This window comes from Homo sapiens, chromosome 7, assembly GCF_000001405.40.
Source record: "Homo sapiens chromosome 7, GRCh38.p14 Primary Assembly".
Classification (NCBI taxonomy): domain Eukaryota; kingdom Metazoa; phylum Chordata; class Mammalia; order Primates; family Hominidae; genus Homo; species Homo sapiens.
The window spans coordinates 138,766,061-138,792,435 of NC_000007.14; the positions used below are offsets into that span (position 1 = coordinate 138,766,061).

The following is a 26,375-nucleotide window of genomic DNA, read 5'->3' on the forward strand; positions in this document are numbered from 1 at the left end:
TTTTAATTTCATTTTTACAGCAAATAACATTCAGAAGAAAAACTCTAAGGAAGGACTTGTGCACACATCTGATTGCCCCTTATCTATTCCTACAAATGTATGAATGTAGAGCTTTAACACCTTAAAATATCATGTTATTATTATTTTTTTTTTTTTTTTGGAAACACAGTCTTGCTCTGTCACCCACGCTGGAGTGCAGTAGTGCGATCTCGGTTCCCTGCAACCTCCCTCTCCTGGGGTCAAACAATTCTCCTGCCTCAGCTTCTAGAGTAGCTGGGATTACAGGCATGCGCCACCCACGCCTGGCTAATATTTTTGTATTTTCAGTAGAGATGGGGTTTCACCATGTTAGTCAGGCTGGTCTCGAACTCCTGACCTCAAGCAATACACCCGCCTTGGCTTCCCAAAGTGCTGGGATTACAGGCGTAAGCCACTGCGCCTGGCCTATCATGCTAGACATTTTTTTTTTAATCCATCTAAGAGACACCCTTACCAAAGAGATAAAAGATAAACGATATAGCCCAAAACAATAAATTTCCCCCAAAAATAAAAAGGGCTATCCACTCAAATTTTAGCTCCCCCCACCCAGAAAAGCTTATTAATATCAGTCAAGATTGAATCTTTTAAACTTAAAATGGTTAAACTTGAAAATGTGTGTGCCTTGGCATGGTTGAAGTCAGCCAAAACTAAACCCAGTTGGATGAATTCCTTTATTAAGGTACTACAGCCAACTCAGTTTGAAAACAAAAGCAGCACATGTTACCTGTTTAACAAAATCAAGACAGGCTCTATGCTGGTCAAGTTTCAGTGTAATATCAAAGAAGAATATCCATAATTATTTGAAAAGGCTATTAAAATATTCCTCCCTTTTCCCACTGCTTATCTGTGTAAGGCTGGATTATCTTCCTCTCCTTCAATAAAAACAGCACATCACCAACAGATTTAAAGTAGAAGCAGGTGTGAGAAACCAGCTGTTTCTATTAGCCAAGCACTTTAAAAATTCACAAACAATGCCATCCTTCTCATGAAAGTGTTTTTGTCTTGGAAAAGACAGTCATTTTTCACTTAAAAAATGTTACCATGTAATGAGACATTATTGTTATTTTCAAGTGAATTAATACATAAATATTTTACATACTTTTCCATTTTAATTTGTAATACAGTCAAAAATCAATAAACAGGCCAGGCGAGGTGGCTCACGCCTGTAATCCCAGCACTTTGGGAGGCCAAGGTGGGCGGATCACCTGAGGTCAGGAGTTCGAGACCAGCCTGGACAACATGGTGAAACCCTGTCTCTACTAAAAATACAAAAATTAGCTGGGCGTGGTGGCGCATGCCTGTAATCCCAGCTACTTGGGAGGCTAAGGCAGGAGAATCGCTTGAGCCTGGGAGGCAGAGGTTGCAGTGAGCCGAGATCACACCACTGCACTCCAGCCTGGGCAACAGAGCAAGACTCCATCTCAAAAAAATATGATAAGGTCCAAAATATTTTCTAGAAGATTTGACAATCTAATATTTCTATGTGAGTATCAAGATTTATACTACTCATGGCTTTGAAATTTTCAAGAATTTGAAGTTATCTTCAAAAAAAAAAAAAAAACCCAGCCAGAGAAAAGGCTCAGCTAGGTGAAGCCTTGCCTACCTGCCCACGCCCTGAATGAGCTGTTCCACTGCCGAGGATAAAATACCTGCTTTTTCAGTTAAGTCCCCCAGGGTCCTCCATGATCTGGCTCTGCCTACCTCTTCACTTCCTCTCCCAGCCCTGCCCCTCATCCCTGTCCCCACCATCTGCTCTATAAGCCCTTGGAGGGCACAGTCATGTTTATTTCTAAGCTACCTTGCACGTGGCAGGTATTCAGTGGTTTTTTTGTTTGTTTGTTTGTTTGTTTTTGAGATGGAGTCTTGCTCTGTCGCCCAGGCTGGAGTGCAGTGGCACAATCTCAGCTCAATGCAACCTCTGCGTCCCGGATTCAAGCGATTCTCGTGCCTCAGCCTCCCAAGTAGCTGGGATTACAGGCACCTACCACCACCCCCGGCTAATTTTTGTATATTTAGTAGAGACAGGGTTTCACCATGTTGGCCAGGCTGGTCTCGAATTCCTGACTTCGTGATCCGCCTGCCTCGGCCTCCCAAAGTGGTGGGATTACAGGGGTGAGCCACTGCGCCCAGCTGGTATTCAGTGTTTTATAAAAGACTGAAGGGGAAGGAAATAGACAAGGAAAGGAAAGAGGGAGAGCCCCACCAGCTGAAATGTCCTTGAAAACTGCAGTCTTCTCCCAGTTGACCTACAGAAGCCAGTCAGAGAAGCAGCTTCCATCTGGAGTGAGTCCAACTCATCAGCTGCTTCCCACCAGAGAATTAGAAAACATCCCATTATGCCCACACTCAGCCCATTCAGTGGCACCCAGCAGACAAGACCACACTGCCTGTAAGAATCAAACACCCACAAAAGCAATCAACTCCTCAAAGTGGGCTAAGCTTCCCGAGGGCTATGCTGAGAAAGGAAAACAGCTGTCTCCAGATCAGCAGGTGTGGCTCTAAAAACCGCACACTGGGATTTTCCTGGGGCTGTAACCCTGAGAGGGAGACGACCATGCAGGCCTGCCTCCCTGCCTTCAAGCAAACAGGTACGGAATCTGCAAGTGGCTCTCAGGGCCTTCAAGGAGACAGGCTTCATGACTGTCCTTACCTGGGGAGGCCAGCAAAGTGGAGAACTTACCTCCAGGGTAATCATTTCCCGTGGGAGCGGGGTCAGTGGGCTTTTCTCGAGCAACTGAACTACAATCTCATTTTGCATCTCGTCTTCCAGAAAACCTGAAGAATGAAAACCCACCAGAAACCCCAAGGTGATTGTGTTTTCTCATAACTAAGAAATGAGGTCAAGCAAGACATGTGCCTTTCACTCAGCTCAGCTACCTGAATTGTCCTAGGAGCTGCCACAGCACCTGGATCCCACCCCCAACCTCCCCCATTCCCTCCAGGTGGGCCTCTGGGACCACCTCAAAAAGTATTGCAAATAGGGACACATTTGTTCATTAAGTCCTGCAAACTATTAACCCCCTTGCCAGTTCACATTTGAACAGTAAGAAAAAAAAAAAAAAAATTGGCTTACGGAGGATTCTCTCCAGTGATTCACACCTTCTGACTTCATTCACAAATTTCCTTTGAAAGCTGTTCACATTCATATTTAACTATGGGGGCGAAAATCACAAGATACATGTTAGTAGCAACAGCTGCCAATAGATTTCTTTCTTTTTTTTTTTTTTTTTTTGAGACTGAGTTTTAATCTTGTCACCCAGACTGGAGGGCAATGGCGCGATCTCAGCTCACTGTAACCTCCACCTCCTGGGTTCAAGTGATTCTTCTGCCTCAGCCTCCCAAGTAACTGGGATTACAGGCACCCACCACCACGCCTGGCTAATTTTTGTATTTGTAGTAGAGATGGGGTTTCACCATGTTGGCCAGGCTGGCCTCAAGCTCCTGACCTCAGGTGATCCGCCCACCTCAGCCTCTCAAAGTGCTGGGATTACAAGCGTGAGGCACTGCGCTAAGCCCCCTTTTGGTCATTTTATTATCTTTTTAATACTAGAGAATGTTGCTGGAATTATCTTAGGAACAGATACTTCCATGCACAAGACAGGTGAGTTACAGGCAAAACACACCTTAGTGTTCTTACATTCAATCCCCCAAATGCTTCAACATTCACCCTCTCGTTTCTAAAAGAAACAAAGTCCTGGCCAGGTGCAGTTGCTCATGCCTGTAATCCCAACACTTTGGGAGGTCGAGGCTGGTGGATCCCTTGAGCCCAGGAGTTCGAGACCAACCTGGGCAACATAATGAGACCTCATCTCTACAAAAAATTACAAAATTAACCGAGCGTGGTGGTGTGCTGAGGTAGGAGGATGGCTTGAGCCTGGGAGGTCAAGGCTACAATGAGCCGTGATTGTGCCACTGCACTCCAGCCTGGGCTACAGAGCAAGACCCTGTCTCAAACAACAACAACAAAAAAAATTGGACTTAATCAAAATTTAAAACTTTTGTGCATCAAAGGACACTTAACAGTGTCCTTTCACTTTCTTAATAGGAAGTGAAAAAAACCCACAGCATGGGAGAAAATCATATATCTGCCTGAAAAAAGAAAAGTAAAGTAAAAAGAAAGGAAAAGAAAAGAAAAAAGGAAGGAAGGAAGAGAGGGAGGGGAAGGAAGGAAGAAAGGAAGGAAGGAAGGAAAGGAAGTCTGTCCTCATCTAAGTTTACCTTATTTCTCTGCCTTGGCTATCCAAATGAGCCTCAAAATCCTCAATGGGGTCATAAAAATGACCAGACCTTGAAGATTGCACAGCTCCATGTAACGTATCACAGTCATCAACAAAACTTCAACTCTCAGCTCAGCTCAATAAACGTTATTGAGGACCTGCCTCATACGAGGTCCTGTGTGAAGAACTAGGGATGCGAACAACAAGATGTGATTCTTCCCTGCAGGAGCTTAGCTCTGACCTTGACCTTAGTGAAGAAGTAAAGAAGGACTGGTTTTCTCAATTAGACTACGAACTTGGTGAGGGTCTAAACTGCCCCTGGGAAATGATACCCCCATGTCATACTCAAGACTGTCTAACTCTAGAATATCACTCTGGAACTCAATCCCGGGTATGACAACCAACTCTGGACTCCAGAATACTTTGTCTTCAGCCTGTCTAGTCAGGAAAAATAGTTTTTATGGTCAGAATAAGGTTTGGTAATCTACATGCCCATTGGCTATATACAATGTTTGAAGATGCTACATAAGAGAAAAAAAATTCAATGACATCTAATGAGTAGTGATTGCATTAGAGCTTCAAGACATTCCTATAGAGGAGACAGGCATGGAGGGAGGGAGAACACGCTCTTGAATGACCTGCCTGGTCATGACAAATCCTAGCCAGAAGCACTAAAACTACAGAATTTCATCGATTCCAGCTCACGGCTCCTCTCCCTACAAAATGGTTATTGTTCACCATAAAGAAGTGTTGTGCAAGAGTTATCTACTCCCACCCCTGCCTTCCTCTTATCTCCAAAGAACTCAGTACCTACATCTTTGAACTGAACCAATCCGAGCTCTCCGAGCTCAGCCACACAGCAATATGCAGCTTCCACCTGGAGAAACAGTTGTGACAAACACATCTCCTCGCTTCGAAACACAGACACCATCTTGGCCCAGCCTCGGTCTACAGGAGAAAAAGAAAAAGATATTAATATTTAAGGTAATAAATGTGTGAAAACCTTAGGGTGAAATTTTTAAGTTAAATTAAAATCTAACAGGGAAAAAAAATCCATTAGGAATCACTTCTGATTTTAGGAGACTTTTTTTTTTTTTTTTTCTTAGACAGGGTCTCACTCTGTTGCCTGGGCTCGAATGCAGTGGTGCAATTCTGGCTTACTGCAGCCTCAACCTCCCAGGCTCAAGTAATCCACCCATCTCAGCCTCCTGAATAGCGGGGACTACAGGTGTGCACCAGGATGCCCAGCTATCCTGATTCTAAAAACAAGATAGCACTTTATGCCCTCCATCAGATTGGCAAAATATTATACTTTATTTTTGAGACAGAGTCTTGCTCTGTCACCCAGGCTGGAGTGCAGTGGCACAAACATGACTCACTGCAGCCTCAACCTCCTGGGCTCAAGAGATCCTCCTGCCTCAGCCTCCTATGTAGCTGGGACTGCAGGTGTGCACCACCACACCCAGCTAGTTGTTTTATTTTTTTGTTGAGACAGAGTCTTGCTGTGTTGCCCAGGCTGGTATTGAACTCCTGGACTGAAGTGATCCTCCCACTCTGGTCTCTCAAAGTGCTGGGATTACAGGCATGAGCCACTGCTCTCAGCTGGCAAAATATTTTAAAATATGACTAAAGACTCAAGTTGTGGAGGGTATGAGAAAACAGGCCCTTTCATGCACTCGAATGTCACTCTAGAACTCAGTTGTGGGTATCACAACCAACTCTGGATTCCAGAATACTTTGTCTTCAATTTCCCTAGTCAGGAAAAATAGTTTTTGTCATCAGAATGAGATTTGGTAATCCATATGCCCATTGGGTATATCCAACGTTAACGTGTAAATTCTTTGTAGCTTTTTCAGAGAGCAATTTATCAATGTCTATCAAATCTTATATCCCTCATACCCACAAATCAAGATGTCCACTGCTATTTATCCAGATAGACCTGGATATGTATGGAGAAACAGATGAACAAGAATGTTTCTTATAATATTGTATGTAATAATTATAGTAAATGGCTGTAACCTAGATATCCATCATTAGGGGAATGATTAAATAAACTGTGATATAACAGAGCCCTGTGCAGTCAGCAGGAATAAAATAAATCTGTATGTCCTGTATATGGAAGAAGGATGCCCACGGGTGAGTGGGGCAGGGGAATGGTGCGAGTTAGGTTAGCCAAAACTGACCTGCAAGACACAGTTCCACCATACAGTCATAAGTGTGTATTGACACTGCTGATTAAAGAAAGACTAAGACTCACACTCCTGAAAGGGGAATCTCAAACATCTAGACTGAAATAGATTAAAACATCCACCATACTGTAACAGATGCATGTCCAAAGTTTAACTGTGAAACTGGGGGATGATCTTGAAGCCATTGCCACCAGCCCGCACACAGCATACGTAGCCAGGGAACGGAGCCCTGGTCATCAGAGGCCTCCCAGCAGCGATCAATGCATTCCAAACTCTGGGGTGGGGCAGTTTGTCACTCCTGAACATTTCTCCATTCCTTAATAGACCATCCAAGTCATGCTGCCCATTGGACTGCCTTTAGTGTCACTTAGAACAGGTGGCAGGGAAGGACACCTCCCAGGGGTTGGAAGAAAGTGAAGCTCTTTCCAATGGTGAAGTTGAAGGCCACATGAGAGCCAAGGGGAGGAGGAGGGCACAGAAGCTATTCCCAAAGATCCTCCCGACGGCCCTACTGCTGCCAAATCACACTTTTTCCCCCCAGGTCAACCTTCTGGAAGAATTTCCACACCTCCAGAGTAGATTTAATTTTATCACGTACAGAGTATCTACTGTGTGCTCGATACTGGGCCTACCCATTGTCCCAGTTTCACACAGGACCAACTCTAAAGTCCTCGAGCTGGCCAGCCGAAGGCTGCAGGACCTGGCCTCCTCTGTGTCCTCCTCCAGCTTTGGCCTCTCCAGGGACCCTGCATTTCTCCCAGCTCCCACCCCCTTCAGGCCCTTCGCCCAGGCTTTCCCCTGGGTTTGGAAACTCAATATCCTCCTCTCCACCGTCCATCCCACGCCCCGCATGACCCTGTCACTCCTCCAGTCTCCATGTAAGGATCTTCTTCCTCCACAAGCCTTCCCTGACACCTCCAGCTCCCTCAAGGAGCTAAGCCCCCTCCTACATGCCCCCAGAAGAGCAATCATTTGCAATCGCTTGTTTAACTGCCTGGATTCCCCACACACAAACCAGTGAAGTCCACGAGGCTAGAACCATTCCCTGTTTCCACTCCCACACCGGTCTAGGTCAACAGCACCACAAAGTGGGTACTCCAGAAGCAATACCCCATGTATAGACCAGAGGATAAACATCATCCCTCAGGAAGTGCACATGGTCTGGGCCCACATTTGTGCCTTTTGACACCAAGATGAATTCAAAGCTCTCCTACTGCCCTGTCTAGTAACTACAGCCAAGTGAACATAGACCAGAGACCCAAGGCATTCACTTTATGCAGATCAAAAGCACAGCATCAACACCCTTCTTACCCCAGCTTCCTCCAGGCGGGTCCTGGGTCAGGGTCTGGGGCAGACGGTGGTTTCCCCAACCTGACGCACGGAGCAGGGAGCCCCAGGTCTGGCAGCCCTCCGTGCTTGCTAGCAGTCCTGGGCGGAGCAGCAGCCAGTGAATCCGCAGGTGGCTTCCCCGCAGCGCCCCTCCCGGCTCCTTCTCCTCCCAGGCTCCCAAAGAGCCAGGAGGCAGCTCTGTTGTATCAACACTGGCCTGTTGTGGGTGAAGACAAACCTGCCCCACCGGCCAGCCTGCTCAGCCCCCGCCCCACCTGTGCCCTCTGCCATGACCTTAAGTTCCCAGCAGGAAGCATTCATTTATTTTCTAATGAAAGTAACTTGCCCCTCAGGGAGCTGAAGGTTGAGGACAAGATTCCTGGAGGCCTTAGAAGGACCCCAGTAAACCAAAACATCCCTTGAACTTGTAAAAACAAAATAACTTTGAAAAATAATTTTGGGGGCCGGGCGCCGTGGCTCACGCCGGTAATTCCAGCACTTTGGGAGGCTGAGGTGGGCGGATCATTTGAGGTCAGGAGTTTGAGACTAGCCTGGCCAACATGGTGAAATCCTGTCTCTACTAAAAATACGAAAAAATGAGCAGAGTGTGGTGGCGGGTGCCTGTAATCCCAGCTACTCAGGAGGCTGAGGCAGGAGAATCGCTTGAACCCAGGAAGCAGAGGTTGCAGTGAGCCTAGATCACGCCACTGCACTCCAGCCTGGGCAACAGAGCCAGACTCCATCTCAAAAATAAATAAATAAATATATATATCTATATATATAATATATTATATACATTATATATATTATATACATTATATATTATATATTATATACATTATATATAGTATATACACATATGTATATACGTGTGTATATATGTGTGTATATACATATATAAATGAAAAAATTAAAATAGTTTTGGAAAATAAAAAATATCACACTCACCATCCTATCAACTATTAACCAAAACACTCTACTTTCAAAGGAAAATAGAAGACTCCTTATGAAATGCCCAATGGCTGAAATTCAGCTTCCGCTGTGGCCCAGGTAAAAAGAGACAGAAGCATATGTGATATGTGCCCTTTTCCTTTGGAGGGGTCTTGTCTTTTCCTATTTCTTTGACAGAGGGTGCGAGGGGCAGAACAAGCCAATTAGGTGCATTTCTCTTGCCCAGGGGTGCGGGGCTGCAACAGCCACCTGCGTTTGTTTGAATGAGCTTTGCTTCTCCAGGGTGGTGCACAGATCCCCCACAGGGACTCTCCCCACCAGTGGCCTTAGAAGGTACCCCAGAATGAGTGAGGGGGGTGCTTTTTTTTAACTTTTCTGTACTTTTCTGCAAAAGTACAGCAAATAGTACAGGGAACCCCTACGTACACATTACTTGGCCACACCAGTTCATGAATGTTCTATCATCCACACCCCACCCACTTCCCCTCCCCACCTCTGATTATTTGGAAGCAAATCCCATACATCATATTATTTCTTTCAAAATATTCCAGCAGGTATCTCTAAAAGATAAGGATTCTTTTATACGCACATATACACACACAAACACACATAAAATACCAGTCACTCCTAAAATTCAATAATTCTTAAATTTGCCTTAATTCTAGGATTCAAGTTTCCTAGATTGTCTGTGATTTGCATTTTTTTTTAAGAGGCAGGGTCTTGCTCTGTTGTCCAGGCTGGAGTGTGGTGGCGCAAACACAGCTCACTGCAGCCTCAACCTCCTGGGCTCAAGTGATCCTCCCACCTCAGCCTCCTGAGTAGCTAGGACTACAGGTGTGCATCACTATGATTGGGCTGATTTTTTTTTTTTTTTTTTTTTTTTGAGACAGTCTCTCGCTCTGTCGCCCAGGCTGGAGTGCAGTGGCGCGATCTCGGCTCACTGCAAGCTCTGCCTCCTGGGTTCACGCCATTCTCCTGCCTCAGCCTCCCAAGTAGCTGGGACTATAGGCGCCCGCCACCACGCCCAGCTAATTTTTTGTATTTTTAGTAGAGACGGGGTTTCACCGGGTTAGCCAGGATGGTCTCGATCTCCTGACCTTGTGATCCACCTGCCTCAGCCTCCCAAAGTGCTGGGATTACAGGCGTGAGCCACCGTGCTCAGCCATTGGCTGATTTTTTTATTTTAATTTTTATAAAATATGACAACATAAAGACAGGGTATCACTATGTTGCCCAGGCTGGCCTCCAACTCCTAGCCTACAAGTAATCCTCCCACCTCTGCTTCCCAAAGTGCTGGGATTACAGGTATGAACCACCATGCCTGGCCAAGACTTGCATTTTTAATAAGCTCCTCAGGTGATACTTGTGCATGATCAAATTAGAACGATTGTTTAGAGAACACAGGGTGAGAAATCAAACTTTAGGCTGGGAAGCAGCAGGGAGGAGCTGTAGGCGGTTTGGGAAAATCAGCTAAGCTGAGGCAGCGATTGTGAACCTGGGGCAGTGGAGGCCCAGCCCTCTGAGAGAGCACCTGCTCTGTACCCTGGAGGAAAGGAGTTGCTTGCGTTTCTTGAGAGGCGGAGCTCAGCTGCACCCACCCATCCTGCCAGGGCAGATCTGTCCAAGAATCCAGACACCTGGATGAAGTTCCAAAGGCTGAACTCAAGATTTGCAAAGAAGAGCAGGAAGATAAGAACTGTGTTGATTCTACCTCTCCCTTCATATGAGCTCCAGAGGCACTAGGAGCCCTGGCCTCAATTCGTGCCTCCCTCCACTCTCCACTTCACCCTCCTACCTCTCATCTTGCTCTTCCCCAAGGCAGGTGTTTGCTTTGTCTCCCAGTCAGCGGGTGGGGCCATAGTTTTCAAACGTCTGGGTGCTCAGAAACCACTCAGGAACATGTGGAGAAAAGAGTACACGTACCTAATGGTTAAGAGCAGAGGCTCCAGCCCAACTACTGGAGTCAGGATCCCAGCTCTGCCATTTACCATGCGTGACCTTGGGAAAGCTATTTAACCTCAGGGCCTCAGTGACCTTATCTGAAAAACAGAAGAGGCTTACTTAGAAAGTGGAAGTATAGGCTGGACGCGGTGGCTCACGCCTGTAATCCCAGCAGTTTGGGAGCCTGAGGCAGGAGGATCACTTTGAGGCCAGGAGTTCGAGACCAGCCTGGCCAACATGGTGAAAACTCCCCTCTCCACTAATAATACAAATTTAGCCAGGTGTGGTGGCGTGTGCCTGTAATCCCAGCTACTCAGGAGGCTGAGGCACGAGAATCGCTTGAACCCGGGAAGTGGAGGTTGCAGTGAGCCGAGATCGCACCACAGCACTCCAGCCTAAAAGACACAGCGAGACTCCGTCTCAAAAAAAAAACAACAAAAAAAGTATGTGTATGGTATGTCAGAGTAGGAGGCAGGGGCCAAGCCATGCCCCAAGTCTGCTGGGCCAATAAGGAATTTGAATTTTATTCTAATAGCATTGGGAAGCCCTTGGGAAATTTTAAGCAGGGAAATGGCATGACCTGGTTCACATTTTTAAAAATATTATGGCCGGGCGCGGTGGCTCACGCCTGTCATCCCAGCACTTTGGGAGGCTGAGGTGGGTGGATCACCTGAGGTCAGGAGTTCAAGACCAGCCTGGCCAACATGGTGAAACCCCATCTCTACTAAAAATACAAAAAATTAGCTGGGCTTGGTGGCGCATGCCTGTAATCCCAGCTACTCAAGAGGCTGAGGCAGGAGAATAGCTGAACCCGGAAGGAGGAGGTTGTGGAGAGCCAAGATCGTGCCATTGCACCCCAGCCTGGGCAAAGAGAGGGAAACTCCGTCTCAAAAAAAAAAAAAAAAATACACACACACACACACACACACACACACACATATATATTACTTTGGCTTCTGCATCTGGAAAAAGGGAGTAGAAATACTTTTTCTTCCCAACCAGTAAAAATAAAAACCCTGTACAGTATATATACAGCAAACATAAGCAGACTGTGAAAGCTGGACAGAAGATAGACCCTCTGAGAATCAGAAGATGCAAGAAACAACACAGAGGTGAGTTCTCTGGGTTTTCTTGTTACTTCCTACAGGTTGAGTATCCCTAATCTGAAAATTCAAAATCGGAAATACTCCAAAATCCCAAACTCCGAGCACCAACATGACACCACAAGTGGAAAATTTCGCTGACTTCATGTGACAGGTCGCAATCAAAACTCAGGCACACAACACATATTTCATTCAGAGTCCTCAAGGGAAAAATAAAATTACCTTCATGCTATGTGTGTAAGGTATATATGAACATACATGAGGCTGGGCACGGTGGGTCATGCCTGTAATCCCAGCACTTTGGGAGGCCAAGGCAGGCAGATTACTTGAGGTCAGGAATTCGAGACAAGCCTGGCCAACGTGGTGAAACACCATCTTTACTAAAAATACAAAAAAATTAGCGGGGCGTGGTGGTGGGTGCCTGTAGTCCCAGCTACACAAGAGGCTGAGGCAGGAGAATCGCAAAGGTTGCAGTGAGCCAAGATCGCGCCACTGCACTCCAGCCTGGGCAACAGAGTGAGACTGTCTCAAAAACAAAAAAAAAATCATGCATGACTTTTGTGTTTAGACTTGGGTCCCATCCCCAAGACATCTCATTTTATATATATATATATATATATGCAAATATTCCAAAATCTGAAAAAGTCTGAAATCTAAAACACTTCTGGTCTGAGCATTTCAGATAAGGGACAGATAATCAATCTGTATATTCCGGACTCAGTGCGGCAGAAGCCAGTACATGTGCAGCAGAAAAGTTCCAAAGAAAGCCTGCTCGCTCTAGCAAAAGGACCAGGAAAGGGGCAGTCTGCCAAGAAAGAAAACTTTCAGACAATAATCACGCGAATCCAGTTAAACGCCACAGAAAAAACTATGGCCCTGCCCCCCACCCCATTGCCAGCAAAGCCCAAGTGGGGAGCCTAGACTTCCAGGCCGAGTGGGGAGTCTGAATTCAGCCCCACTCTGTGGTAACAAGGCTCCCTTGTTTGCCCCTGTTGGGGGTGTCAGAAGAAACCTAATCAGAACTTTTACCCCCATCCATTGGTAATAAGCTCCCCTCCCCCGATCATTGATGGTGAAGATCACATGCAGAGCAGTAATGAGGCATCTCTGCTCCTCCAGCCCCGGTGGTAGCAGCAGAGATCTCGTGAATAGAAGAATGAAGTGGGAGAAACGCTCTACCCAACTTCAAGACTTACTGTACAGCACCAGTAATCAAGACTGTGGTATTGGGCCAGGAGCGATGGCTTGAGCCTATAATCCCAGCATTTTGGGAGGCCAAGACAGGTGGATTGCTTGAGCCCAGGAGTTTCAGACCAGCCTGGGCAACACAGTGAGACTATCATCTCTACAAATAATAATAATAAAAATATTAGCCAGGTTTGTGGTGTGTGCCTGTGATCCCAGCTACTTGGGAGGCCGACTTGGGAGGATGACCTGAGCCTGGGGAGGTCGAGGCTGCAGTGAGCCATGATCATGCCACTGCACTCCAGCCTGGGTGACAAAGTGAGACCCTATCTTAAAAAAAAATAAATAAATAAAAGATTGTAATATTGGTGGAAGGATAGACATATAGATGGAATATCTGTCTTCTTTACTCAGTCTACCCATTCAAATGCTAATCTATTCAAGAAATACCCCCACAGGTACATCCAGAAACAATGTTTTACCAGCTATGTGGACATCACTTGGCTCACTCAAGTTGACCATAAAATTAACCTTTCCAAGTCCAACCCTTGTCAACTTGGCACCTATGTGCAACTCTTAAACCACACTTAATCTCCAAATAAAGACAATGACAGGGTCATAATTCTACCCAACATGATACGACTGAAAATGCACTAATCTCTTCCCCAGAAGAGGAGGTAAACTGCTTGAGTGGTGTATACTCTTCTCCTGATACCCCATAACTTCATTACTATGATGTAAAATTAACAATAGTTAAATACTGATATAAAATCAATACATTTTATGTCTCATGATAAAAGGAAAAGAGAGAAAACAGATATTTGCTTAATATGAGTATATATATGCACAAGTGTGTTCATAAAAAATAAAGGAAAAGATACTGATTGACAATGATAGTCCTTGTTTCTGGAGCTGGTGATGTGGTTGTATCCAGTATTTATAACTACCTACACTACAGAATACCTGTTCTATGTTCCCTTTACCTTCAGCAAGCACCTCAGCTGGTTGTGGTTCTTTACCTGGTGGAGTGACCCAAATTTTCATTCCTGAAGAGTGTGGGCCATTTGTAGTTCTGCCTGGGTTGTGTTGTTGCAGTTTCCCATTGACCCTAATTATAGAGCAGGGTCATATTAAGAGATGCAGTAAAGCAGCAATCCCCAACCTTTTTGGCATCAGAGACCTGTTTTGTGGAAGACAGTTTTTCCACGAATGGAGGTTGGGAGATGGTTTGGGCATGAAACTGTTCCATCTCAGATCACCAGGCATCAGATTTGTAAGGAACACACAACCTAGATTCTTCTCATGCACAGTTCACAGTAGGGTTCATGCTCCTCTGAGGATCTAATGGTGCTGCTGACACGACAGGAGGTGGAGGCTCAGGTGGAAATGCCTACTCCCCTCCAGCTATGTGGCCCAGTTCCTAACAGGCCATGGACTGGTACCAGTCTATGGACCCCCCAGTACCATAGCTGGCGGATCACCCCAGGGAATAGTGCCATCTTGAGGGCTCAGTGTTGATCTCTGCTGCTGGCAGATTGGGCACTCAGCAGTGGCAACAGCCAGGTTGGCCTTGGTGAGTGGAAGTCCATGTTGCTGAGCCCACGCACAACCTCCATCCCTGCCACCATAGCCACTTTGTTCATGAGCCCATTAGGCAATGTCAGGGATGGCTGGGGAAAGAGAGTTTGAGACCAACCTGGGCAACATAGTGAGGCCTCATCTCTATGAAAAATAAACAAAAATTAGCTGGGCGTGGTGGTGCATGCCTGTGCTTCCAGCTACTTGAAAGCTGAGGTGAGAGGATCACTTGATCCCAGGAGGTTGAGACTGCTATGATCCGAGATCATGCCTCTGCACTCCAGCCTGGGTGAAAGAGCCAGACTTTGCCTCAAAAAGAAAAAATAAAAAAAAAATTAAAAAAAAGAAATTTCACTGAGAGAGAAGGCCCCTAAATTTTTGTCTGATTTATTTCCCACCCTCTGACATCCAAATGTCTTATCAATAAGTCTACAATAGTTGTTATTCTTGCTCACTAGGTCCAATCAGTATATTGTCATCAGTGTAATAGACCACTGTGATATTTTATAGACAGGAGAGATGATTAAGATCCTTGCAAACTAAATTATGACACAAGGCTAGAGAGTTGATATTCCCCTGAGGTAGGACCGTGAAGGTGTACTGCTGGCCTTGCCAGCTAAAAGCACCCTGCTCCTGCTGGTCCTTATGAACAGGTATGGAGAAAAAGGGATTTGTTATACAAAAACTTAATTCCAGGAAAGCTTTTTTTGGTTGATTCTTTCAGATTTTCTTTTTTTTTTTCTTTTTCTTTTTTTGTAGACGAGTCTTGCTCTTATCACCAAGGCTGGAGTGCAGTGGTGCAATCTTGGCTCGCTGCAGCCTCCACCTCCTGGGTTCAAACAATTCTCTGCCTCAGCCTCCCAAGTAGCTGGGATTACAAGCACCTGCCACCATGCCTGGCTAATTATTTTGTACTTTTAGTAGACACGGGGTTTCACCATCTTGGCCAGGCTGGTCTTGAACTCCTAACCTCGTGATCCACCCACCCTGGCCTCCCAAAGTGCTGGGATTACAGGTGTGAGCCACCGCGCCCAGCCTCTTTCAGATTTTCTATACAGGCAATGAAGTCATCTGTGAATAAAATTTTATGTCTTCCTTCCTAATCAGTATGGTTTTCATTTCTTTTTCTTATGGCATTAGTTAGGACTCCAGTATGATGTGAAATGGAGTGGTGAGGAACAATGTCCTTGCCTTGTTCCTAATCTTCTCAGCAATTTTTTTTAAAGAAATTTTTCTCTGTCTCTCTCTCTCTTTTTTTTTTTTTTTGTAGAGTTTGGGTCTCACAGTGTTGCCAAGGCTTGTCTCAAACTCCTGGCCTCAAGCAATTCTCCCACCTTGGCCTCCCAAAGTGCTGGGATTACAGGTATGAGCCACTGCACCTGGACCCCAATAATTCTTAACAGTGTAAAGAGGACCTGAGACAAAAACATTGGACAACCACTAGCCTGGGGACCGCAGAATTGGGTGTATGAGTTTCCTAGGACTGTGGTACCAGAGTGCCATAAACTGGGTGGCTTAACCAACAGAAATGTATTATCTCAGCCCTGAAAGTTAGAAGTCTGAAATCAAGATGCCACGCAAGGCTGGTTCCCTCTGAAGGCTGTGAGGAAGAATCTTCCAGGTCTCTTACTTGGCTGCTGGTGGTTGCTGGCAATCTTTGGCATTCCTTGGCTTGGAGAAGCATCACTCCAATCTATGCCTTCACATTCACATGTGTGTGTCTGTGTCCAAATCCCTTTTTATAAGGACACCAATCATATTGGATTAGGGGCCCACCCCACTCTGCTATAAACTCATCTTAATTAATTATCTCGGCAAAGACCCTGTTTCCAAATACAGCCACATTCTCAGATCCTCCGGATTAGAACTACAACATATGAATGGAATGGGGCAGCACACTTCAACCCATAATGAGGGAGAGGCAGTGGAGGTCCAAGCCTGAATACAGAGAAATTCCAGGATTTCAAGGCTGCACAGAGGAGACAAACAAGAAACAGAGGGAGGAGGATAATCAGAAGAATGAGAACTCAAAAGAAGAAAATGTCTTGAGAATCATGGAGTGTTCATGAAGGGGAGGGCTGAGAAAGATCTGGAGGTTACTGGGGACCCCGTGGATCCACTTCAATGGAGTGAAATGGGCAGGATTCTGGGGACTCAGAGAAAGTCAGTGGCTGGTGAAGAAAAGATGGGCATGGAAATTGGCTGGGCATGGTGGCTCACACCTGTAATCCCAGCATTTTGGGAGGCCGAGGCAGTTGGATCGCCTGAGGTCAGGAGTTCAAGACCAGTCTGGCCAACATAGTGAAACCCCTTCTCTACTAAAAATACAAAAATTAGCTGGGCGTGGTAGCAGATGCCTGTAATCCCAGCTACTCGGGAGGCTGAGGAAGGAGAATTGCTTGAACCCGAGAGGCGGAGGTTGCAGTGAGCCGAGATTGCACCACTGCACTGCAGCCTGGGGGACAGAGCAAGACTCCATTCCAAAAAAAAGATGGGCACAGAAATCAACTACAGCTTTCTTTTAAAAACACCAACTGTGAAGAGAAAGGAGGGAGCAGGGCAGCAGCTAAAGAGGAAATGGAGCACCAGGAGAGGGTTTTATTTATTTATTTTCAGGAGAAGAGACAGTTGATAACTTCCCCTCCCCAAATTCTGTGAGTTCTAGTTGGGAGATACATCTAGAAAATGGGAACCATGGCTGCGTACGGTGGCTCACACCTATAACCTCAGCACTATGGGGGACCGAGGTGGGAGTATTGCTTGAGGCCAGGAGATCAAGACCAGTCTGGGCAACATAGCAAGACCCTGTCTCTATTTAAAAAAAATTTTTTTAATTAAAAATTTTAAAAATGAGGCCAGGCACATGGCTCATGTCTGAATTCCATCACTTTAGGAGGCTGAAGCAGGAGGATCGCTTGAGCCCAGGAGTTTCAGACCAGCATGGGCAGCATAGTGAGAAATCATCTCTACGAAAAATTTAAAAATTAGCCAGGCAGAGTGGTGCACACTTGTAGTCCCAGCTACTCAGGAGGCTGAGGTGGGAGAATCACTTGAGCTCGGGAGTGCAAGGCCACAGTGAGCCATGATTGTACCACTGCACTCCAGCCAAGGTGACAAGAGTAAGACCCTGTCTCAAAAAAATAACTTTTAAAATGGGAACTCCTACTTTTTCTTACCCATGATGTATATCTGAGACAATCTCTTTGAACCATGACATCTTTGACATTTCTCTAGAAGTTTCCTGTCTGAGCTCAATTTTTTTATGTGCAACATTTCATAGCATTGCTGATTCTTGGAAAGTTGAAACAGGCCAAGCATTAGCAAACACAGTCCAATTTGTCCAAAATCAGAGTAAATTTTCTAAGTTCCCTACTGTGAACCTCAAGAGTAAAGGAAGAAGGAAAGGAGGAGAGAAGAACCAAACACAGCTCTAGCCCCCAAAAGGGTGCCCATTGGCAGGTAAGATATAGATGATCTAGTCCAATCCACTCTTGCAGAAAAGTAAGGCACAGTGAGGCTAAGTGACTTGCCCAAAGCCAGATAATACAGCCTTATTTCTCTAATTATTTGTGCCATTGAATTTTTTAAAAAGAAACTAATCCACCTATGAATCCTTAAACATTATATATATATATATATATACGTATATATATATATATACATATATATATATACATATATATATATACATATATATACACACACACACACACACATATATATATATGTATTTTTTTTTTTTTTGAGATGGAGTCTCACTCTGTCACATAGGCTGGGGTGCAGTGGCGCAATCTTGGCTCACTGCAAGCTCCGTCTCCTGGGTTCACGCCATTCTCCTGACTCAGCCTCCCGAGTAGCTGGGACTACAGACACCCACCACCACACCCAGCTAGTTTTTTGTATTTTTAGTAGAGATGGTGTTTCACCGTGTTAGCCAGGGTGGTCTCGATCTCCTGACCTCATGATCCACCCTCCTCAGCCTCCCAAAGTGCTGGGATTATAGGCGTGAGCCACTGCGCCTGGCCTAAACATAATATTTTTATATACTCTCAAAGTCAACTCAAAACTTTGAAGGAAAATAATATTTAAATTCAGCATTCGGTCTTGAGAGAAACAACTTTCTTAGGGCAGAATCAATCCTCTATATTATCCAAACAAACATTGCTTTTGACATTTGGTGTTTCAGGCCACTGTTCCCATTCTTTAGACAAGTCTGGGGCACACTGCCAGTTCCAAAAGCTTTACACTTAGCCTCAAAGGTCCCCGGCAAAGCACTTTCATGCCCTGAGGACTTTCTACAGAATGGCTCTTGAGGGTGAAGAGATGAGCATTCCACTTACGTGCCTTTAAAACGGGCATTCCTTTAACACAGGGCTTCCTGTGTTCTCATATCCTTGTACCCAGGATTAGGAAAATATTGCACACAATCACATGTTCAGTGTACAAGATCAATTTACAGGAGGAGATCATTGTAATTTAGAAAATGACAAAGGATAAATACAGAGCCAGCTAAAATGTTTGCAAGGAATTTAATCCAAAAATAATAATCTAGCTGGAAAAGTAACAATCTGACTTTTCTAAAAAGAGCATCTGATTTTTCTGAACTGAATTCCCTCCAGATAGCCTTCATTCAAATAACTGATTTTATCATCCACTCAAACTGAATACTTCTCACTTTCTTTTTTCTTTTTTTTTTTTTTTTGAGTGGAGTCTTGCTCTGTCGCCCAGTCTGGAGTGTAGTGTCGTGATCTCAGCTCACTGCAACCTCCACCTCCTGGATTCAAGTGATTCTCCTGCCTCAGCCTCTTGAGTAGCTAGGACTACAGGTGTGCACCACCACGCCCGGTTAATTTTTTGTATTTTTAGTGGAGACAGGGTTTCACCATGTTGGCCAGGCTGGTCTTGAACCCCTGACCTCAAGCAATCCACCTGCCTCGGCCTTCCAAAGTACTGGGATTATAATAGGCATGAGCCACTGCACCCAGCCAAGCTGAATACTTCTTCACTGTTGGCCAGGCACTGACTCTGCCACCCACCACCCTTTACAATATGCACTCATAAACAAAGTGTTTGAGACAGAAAAGAATGATTTGAGGTTGCTAAAAAAAAGAGAGAATGAATTCAACTTCCTCCATTGTATGCACACACACGCACACACACACACACAAACACACCCATGTGCAACTGAATGCAATTCATTGATAGTAAGGTCCAAGAGTTCATGAATCAGCACACTGAGATCAAATCTACGGATGCTGGAACCAGGATCATCCCTGCCATGCACATTTCCACTTCCTCCTGGCCACGACTTTTTCCAGGAATGTGTCTCAGTGCTCACTGCTGCCATCCAACGCCAGTGGGGCACTCCCTGCTGTTCTACCACTTTCTGTCCTCTAGATCACGTCCTAGGACACTGAGCCCTCCCAGTGGCTCTCAGACAGCTCCACTCTCCTCTACTCTCCACTCCTCCCCACACCCCTCAGCACACGACCACCTCATTCCTTAGGAGAAGATCCTCCTCCACCACGGAGCCCTCCAGCTTCCCTCTTCTCCACCTCAGCGTACCTTGGCTGTGTCTCTCTCTCTTCTTCTCTTCAGAGAAAAGCTGCTTTACATTCCTTTCATTCCTGTCTTCACTTGCCACGTCATGGAGGAACTGGAAATGAGACTTAGGAAAATGAAGTTTTATCATAAAGAGAACAGAATGGGCTGGGCACAATGGCTCATGCCTATAATCCCAACACTGTGGGAGGCCGAGGTGGGAGGATTGCTTGAGCCCAGGAGTCTGAAACCATCCTGGGCAACATAGCAAGCCTCTGTCTCTACACAAAATAAACTTAGCTGGCCTTCGTGGCATGCATCTCTAGTCCCAGCTACTCAGGAGGCTGAGGTGGGAGGATCGCTTGAGCCAGGGAGGTCGACGCTGCAGTGAACGAAGATTGCACCACTGCACTCCAGCCTGGGTGACAGAGTGAGACCTTGTCTCAGGAAAAAAAAAAAAGAGAGACAACAGAATGCCCTGAAGTTTATCATGGATGGATTTTTTTACCTATAGCCTAAGGAGAGAGAGAGAGACAGATTGAGAGAGAGAGATTCTCCCTATGTTGCCCAGGCTGGTCTCAAAGTCCTGGGCTCAAGCAGCCCTCCCACCTCAGCCTCCCAAAATGCTGGGATTACAGGCATGAGCCACCACACCCGGCGCTAGCCTAAGTTTTTCACTTGGGAGCACCTCCCTAGTTATCTGCCTTTTCTATAATAATATTTACTCCCAATTACACAAGTAAGTTTCTTATCATGATTTCCACCTCCACTTTCTAAAAAAGAAAAAAAAAGAATTTAAATGTACTATCTTGTTTCTCTTCTTTCTCCATTTAATATCCTGCATTGACTACAGAGTCATAGAAATCTATCACTGGAAGAAACTTCGAGATCACCTGATTCAGTCTCCTTACTTTAGAGATGAGAAAACAGAACTCCAGGGAGCAGATGCAATTTGCTCAAGGTCCTGCAGGTAATTGGCGGCAGAGCTGGAAGCAGAACCCAGGGCTCTGCACTTCAGGGTCTTTTCATGCCATCACGGTAGCTTTCCAGTTGTTTCTCACAGGACTTAACACCCCTTTGTGTTAGGAAGTATACATAGCAAAACCCTTTCTGGGCATCACGTATCCCCTCTGCAGAGTCCTGCGGACCCCAGAGAAAATTCTCCCCACAAAGGATGGAAGGCATAATTCCCCCAGATTTTTCCCCTCGTGTTCCCCTTCTAGAAAGTCGCATCGACACCAAGGTTACATGACTCCTCCAAGGTCACACTCCAAGTGACAACATGAAAACTGGAATCCAGGACTCTTGACTCAGGATTCTTGTGTTCCCAACCAACAAACCTAGAGGCAGCTTGGACAAGAGAAGATGAGGAGCTAGGCATGGTGGTGCATACCTGTAGCCCGAGCTACTAAGGAGGCTGAGGTGGGAGGATCACTGGAGCCCAGGAGTTCGAGGCTGTAATACACTGTGATTGCACCTGCGAATAGCCACTGTACTCCAACCTAGGCAACACCCTGTCTCTAAATAAATACATAAATAAAATGAAACATATGGACAAAGCATTTTCAAAAAAGAAAAAAGAGGCCAGGAGCAGTGACTCACACCTGTAATCCCAGCATTTCCAGAGACTGAGGCGGAAGGATCGCTTGAGCCCAGGAGTTTGAGACTAGCCTCGGTAACAGAGCAAGACCTCAACTCTACTAAAAATAAAAAATATTAGCTGGGTGTGGTGGTACATGCCTGTAGTCCCAGCTACTCAGGAGGCTGAGGCAGGAGGATGGCTTGAGCCCTAGGAGGTGGAGGCTACAGTGAGTTGTGATTGCACCACTGCACTCCACCCTGGGCAATAGAGTGAGATTCTGTCTTAAAAACGGAAAAAGAAAAAAAGAGAAAGAGAATGAAGGGAAGTTATAGAAAAGGCCAGAAAACACAGTGAGAGAGGGGTCTTTGGATGTTGGGAAGACAGGTCCAAACAATCATTGACTTGACTATCTGGTTCGCTTCGGTTTTATGTGAACAAAACTGGAGAAGAAAAATTGGCGGAATATTTATTACAAACCTGCAGCTTATTTCCAAAAACTTTAGCTTAAAGTTACTCTTTGAGAACAAATCTCTCTGTTTATTAAACAAAAGATGAATCTGACCACATGCTCAGATTGTTGTGCCAACAGAAATATTTTGCACAAATGATAAGAGTAATTGTAGGGAACCAGAAATTGCCAATCATAGAGTTGAGAGCTGAAAAGCCCTCCTTCCAACTGTTTATTAACTTCACCTTAAAATGCCCTTACTTGTTTGATGACAGTAACTCACAAACTTTTCTACCCGAGCTAACCCACAGAAGAGCTGGCTGTCTTAAAAATTAGTAAGAAACCAATCCCTTGAGGCATTTAAGCAGAAGTCCAACTAACAACCTTAAGAAGCAGGACAGGTCAAATGCAGCTATACCAAACTCTATAATATCCTACTTTCCTTATAGGAAAGTCATATGGTTTGGCTGTGTCCCCACCCAAATCTCATCTTGAACTGTAGCTCCCATAATTCCCACTTGTTGTGGGAGGGACTCAGTGGGAGGTAATTGAATCATGGGGGCAGGTCTTTCCTGTGCTGTTCTCATGATAGGAAATGAGTCTCACAAGATCTGATGGTTTTATAAATGGGAGTTCCCCTTCACACGCTTTCTTGCCTGCCACCATGTAAGATGTGCCTTTGCTTCTCCTTTGCCTTCTGCCATGATTGTGAGTCCTCCCCAGCCATGTGGAACTGTGAGTTCAGTAAACCTCTTTTCTTTACAAATTACCCAGCCTTGGATATGTCTTTATTAGCAGCGTGAGAACAGATTAATTCAGAGGGCATTCTTCCAAGGTTAAAGATTGGCCCGGATGGTCTCTGAGGTCCTTTTCCAACACTGAGATTCTAATTGTAATCCGATGTTATATCTGTGTCTTCTTTCTAGTCTTCTTTGTGTCCTGACCATCCGTGGATATGTCTGTACATTCCATTGTGACCACGAGCACTCCAAGAGCTGAGGCTATGATAGGCAGTAATCTGCACCATGTGAAACTTAAAGGTTAAGGTTTTTTGGGGGGTTTTTTTTTGTTGTTGTTGTTGTTTTTGTCTTTTTTTCTTTTTGAGACAGAGTCTCGCTCTGTTGCCCAGGCTGGAGTGCAGTGGTGCAATCTCGGCTCACTGCAAACTCTGCCTCCTGGGTTCAAGCAATTCTTCTGCCTCACCCTCCCGAGTAGCTGGGATTACAGGTGCCCACCATCACGCCTGCCTAGTTTTTGTATTTTTAGTAGAGATGGGGTTTTACCATATTGGCCAGGCTGGTCTTGAACTCCTGACCTCAAGTGATCCACCCACCTCAGCCTCCCAAAGTGCTAGGATTACAGGCGTGAGCCACCATGCCTGGCCAGCTTGTTTTTTTAATGGAAAAGAAGATTCCCTGATATTGAACATTTTTCCCAGGTAATGGGACAGATATGTAAAATCTGTCTGCTTCATTGTGACTGTATTGCTTTCCTGTGAAATAATCTTTAAGAATGTATTAACTTAGGCCAGGTGCAGTGGCTCACGCCTGTAATCCCAGCACTTTGAGAGGCTGAGGCAGGTGGATCACCTGAGGTTGGGAGTTTGAGACCAGCCTGACCAACATGGAGAACTCTGTCTCTACTAAAAATACAAAATTAGCTGGGCATGGTGGTACATGCCTGTAATCCCAGCTACTCGGGAGGCTGAGACACTAGAATCACTTGAACCCGGGAGGCAGATGTTGCAGTGAGCCTAGATTGCACAACTGCACTCCAGCCTGGGTGACAGAGCAAGACTCTGTCTCAAAAAAAAAAAAAAAAAAAAAAGTATTAACTTGATTTTATTTCTTGATCATAAAAATAATATACACATTCATTATTTTAAAATGGAAACACAAAAAAGTATTAAAAACAAAATTAAAACCACCCAAAACTGTACATCCTAGATATGACTACTACTAACATTTTGAGAGGATTCATTCCAAACATTTTTCATTGTATATGTGTATATATTACAAAACTGGAATTATATTGACATAAAGATTTATATCCTGCTTTTCTGTTTTGTATACTATGGCAAATGTTTTCCCAAGTGATTAAATGGTACCCAAGAATGTTTTTTGTTGCTGCTGTTGCTGTTGTTTTTTTGAGATAGAGTCTTGCTCTGTAACCCAGGCTGGAGAGTAGTGGCATGATCTTGGCTCACTGCAACCTCTGCCTCTTGGGTTCAAGCGATTCTCTTGCCTCCAGTCTCCTGAGTAGCTGGGATTACAGGCACATACCACCAGGACTGGCTAATTTTTGTATTTTTAGTAGAGATGGGGTTTTGCCATGTTGGCCAGGCTGGTCTCAAACTCCTGACCTCAGGTGATCAGCCCACCTTGGCCTTCCAAAATGCTGGGATTTTAGGTGTGAGCCACCATACCCAGTCCCAAAAACGGTTTTAATAGCTACCCTTTATTTCATTATAAACTGCTTCCAAGCTTTCACTTTTACAAACATTGTAATATTGAGATGGAGAACTTTGGATATGCATTTTTGTGCTCATCTTTGGTTATTTCCTTGGGGATGAAATTTCTAAAGGGCTACACCATAGAAGGAAAGGTATCCAAAATAAACTGACACACATCGTCTCAATTCCTGAGACCGGAATGACATGATAGCAGATTTGTGTTGCCCCCAAGCACTCGATTAAAGCAACAACAACAAAAATCATGTCTACAGGAAGAAAGCATTATCCTGGGTCTCAAGTTATTTCTATAAACAATAGTATGTAATTGCAATTTTGCCCACAATAAAAAATAACCAGGTATGCAAAGAAACATGATCATATGAATGAAAACAGCAGAAATAATAGACAATGGAAATAAACGAATGGGAAAAGAATGGCGAAGACTGAGGTTATCAGACACGGATTTTAAAGGAATTATATCCCCTCTGTTTATGAAGATGAAAAACAGGACTGAATAGTTTGGCAGAAAAAAAAATATAAAAAAGAACAGAATGGAAATTCTGGAACTAAAACTAAGATAATCGAAATTAAGAACCCAATGGGTAGTTATAAAAGAGGATTAGACACAGATGACAAGAGATTTCATAAAAGACTGGGCAAAAGGCAATATCCAGAGTAAAACACAGGAAAACAAAAAGATAAAGAATAAAGAAGAAGGTAAGAGAATTACAGGATGGAGTGGAAAGATCTAACCTATGTGTAATCAGTCACAAAAAGAGAGGAGAGAATGGTTCACAAGTAGTATTTGATGGCTGAGAAGTTTTCAAAACTTATTAATAACATCAAGCTCCATATCCAATTGCCTACAAACTCCAAAGAGGACAAAAAAGGAATCCATACTTCAGCACATCAGAGTAAAACTGCTGAAAACCAAAGGCAAAGAAAAATTTAAAAACAGCCAAAAAATAAAAGAGGCAAATTATCTGCAATGAAGCCCCAGTGAGGTGGACAGTTCTCAACAGAAACAATGGTAGCCAAAAGAAATGAAATGTTATCTTTAAAGCACTGAAAGAAAATATCTGCCAACCTTACATTTTGTACCCAATGAAGGTGATTTCCAAGAATGAAGGAAGAATAAAAACATATCCAGACAAACAAAGTAACATGTTAATCACTCCACTGAGGGAATACTAAATGGTATTCTTCAAAGAGAAGGAAAATGATCACAGATGGAAGACCAGACATGCAGAAATAAATTAAGAACAATAAACCGGTAAACATGTAAATAAATTTAATAAATTTCACTCATATATTCACTTGGAAAATAATAATAATAATGACTTATTGAGTTAAAAACTATGTGTATAACTAACATACATGACTACAATGGTATAAAAATCAGGAGTGGATAGGCCAGGTGTGGTGGCTCACGCCTGTAATCCCAGCACTTTGGGAGGCCGAGGTGGGCAGATCACGAGGTCAGGAGATCGAGACCATCCTGGCTAACACGGTGAAACCCCATCTCTACTAAAAATACAAAAACTTAGCTGGGCGTGGTGGCGGGCACCTGTAGTCCCAGCTACTCGGGAGGCTGAGGCAGGAGAATGGCGTGAACCCAGGAGGCAGCTTGCAGTGAGCCGAGATAGCGCCACTGCACTCCAGCCTGGGCGAGTGGGTAAATGGAGTTAAAGTTCTGAGGTCTTCATATTATCTATGAAAGTGGTGAAAGTGTCAATTAATATTAGACTTTGATATGTTAAGAATGCACTTGTGAGAACATATATTCAGGGTAACTTGGATCTATGCTCCTGGGTTGCAGA

At 44.6% G+C, this 26,375-nt stretch overlaps 1 protein-coding gene across 3 annotated transcripts in view, besides 3 other annotated features; it reads right to left on the reverse strand.

Annotated features, from left to right (window-relative positions):
- Nucleotides 1-26,375, reverse strand: part of ATP6V0A4 (ATPase H+ transporting V0 subunit a4) — a 91,903-nt gene that overhangs the window by 59,767 nt on the left and 5,761 nt on the right. The window contains exons 2-5 of one of the 3 annotated variants that reach the window (NM_020632.3): nucleotides 20,098-20,200; nucleotides 5,071-5,204; nucleotides 3,113-3,191; nucleotides 2,720-2,814 (exon numbers count right to left, since the gene is read on the reverse strand). In NM_020632.3, coding sequence (NP_065683.2) covers nucleotides 2,720-2,814; nucleotides 3,113-3,191; nucleotides 5,071-5,187 — 291 coding nt within the window. In that variant the 5' untranslated portion in view covers nucleotides 5,188-5,204; nucleotides 20,098-20,200. Of the gene's footprint in view, nucleotides 1-2,719; nucleotides 2,815-3,112; nucleotides 3,192-5,070; nucleotides 5,205-7,756; nucleotides 7,876-20,097; nucleotides 20,201-26,375 lie in introns of those variants that run through there. The other 2 variants (NM_130841.3, NM_130840.3) reach the window with 2 other exon arrangements.
- Nucleotides 4,970-5,170: a silencer, noted in NCBI's record as "peak6777 fragment used in MPRA reporter construct". NCBI's record gives its function as "represses an SCP1 promoter by STARR-seq MPRAs in K562 erythroleukemia cells {active_cell/tissue: K562}" and the evidence as "EXISTENCE:reporter gene assay evidence [ECO:0000049][PMID:32103011]".
- Nucleotides 7,392-7,895: an enhancer, noted in NCBI's record as "H3K4me1 hESC enhancer chr7:138458197-138458700 (GRCh37/hg19 assembly coordinates)". NCBI's record gives its function as "activates a minimal SCP1, AML or CMV promoter by ChIP-STARR-seq in naive H9 embryonic stem cells {active_cell/tissue: H9 hESC(naive)}" and the evidence as "EXISTENCE:reporter gene assay evidence [ECO:0000049][PMID:30033119]".
- Nucleotides 7,896-8,398: an enhancer, noted in NCBI's record as "H3K4me1 hESC enhancer chr7:138458701-138459203 (GRCh37/hg19 assembly coordinates)". NCBI's record gives its function as "activates a minimal SCP1, AML or CMV promoter by ChIP-STARR-seq in naive H9 embryonic stem cells {active_cell/tissue: H9 hESC(naive)}" and the evidence as "EXISTENCE:reporter gene assay evidence [ECO:0000049][PMID:30033119]".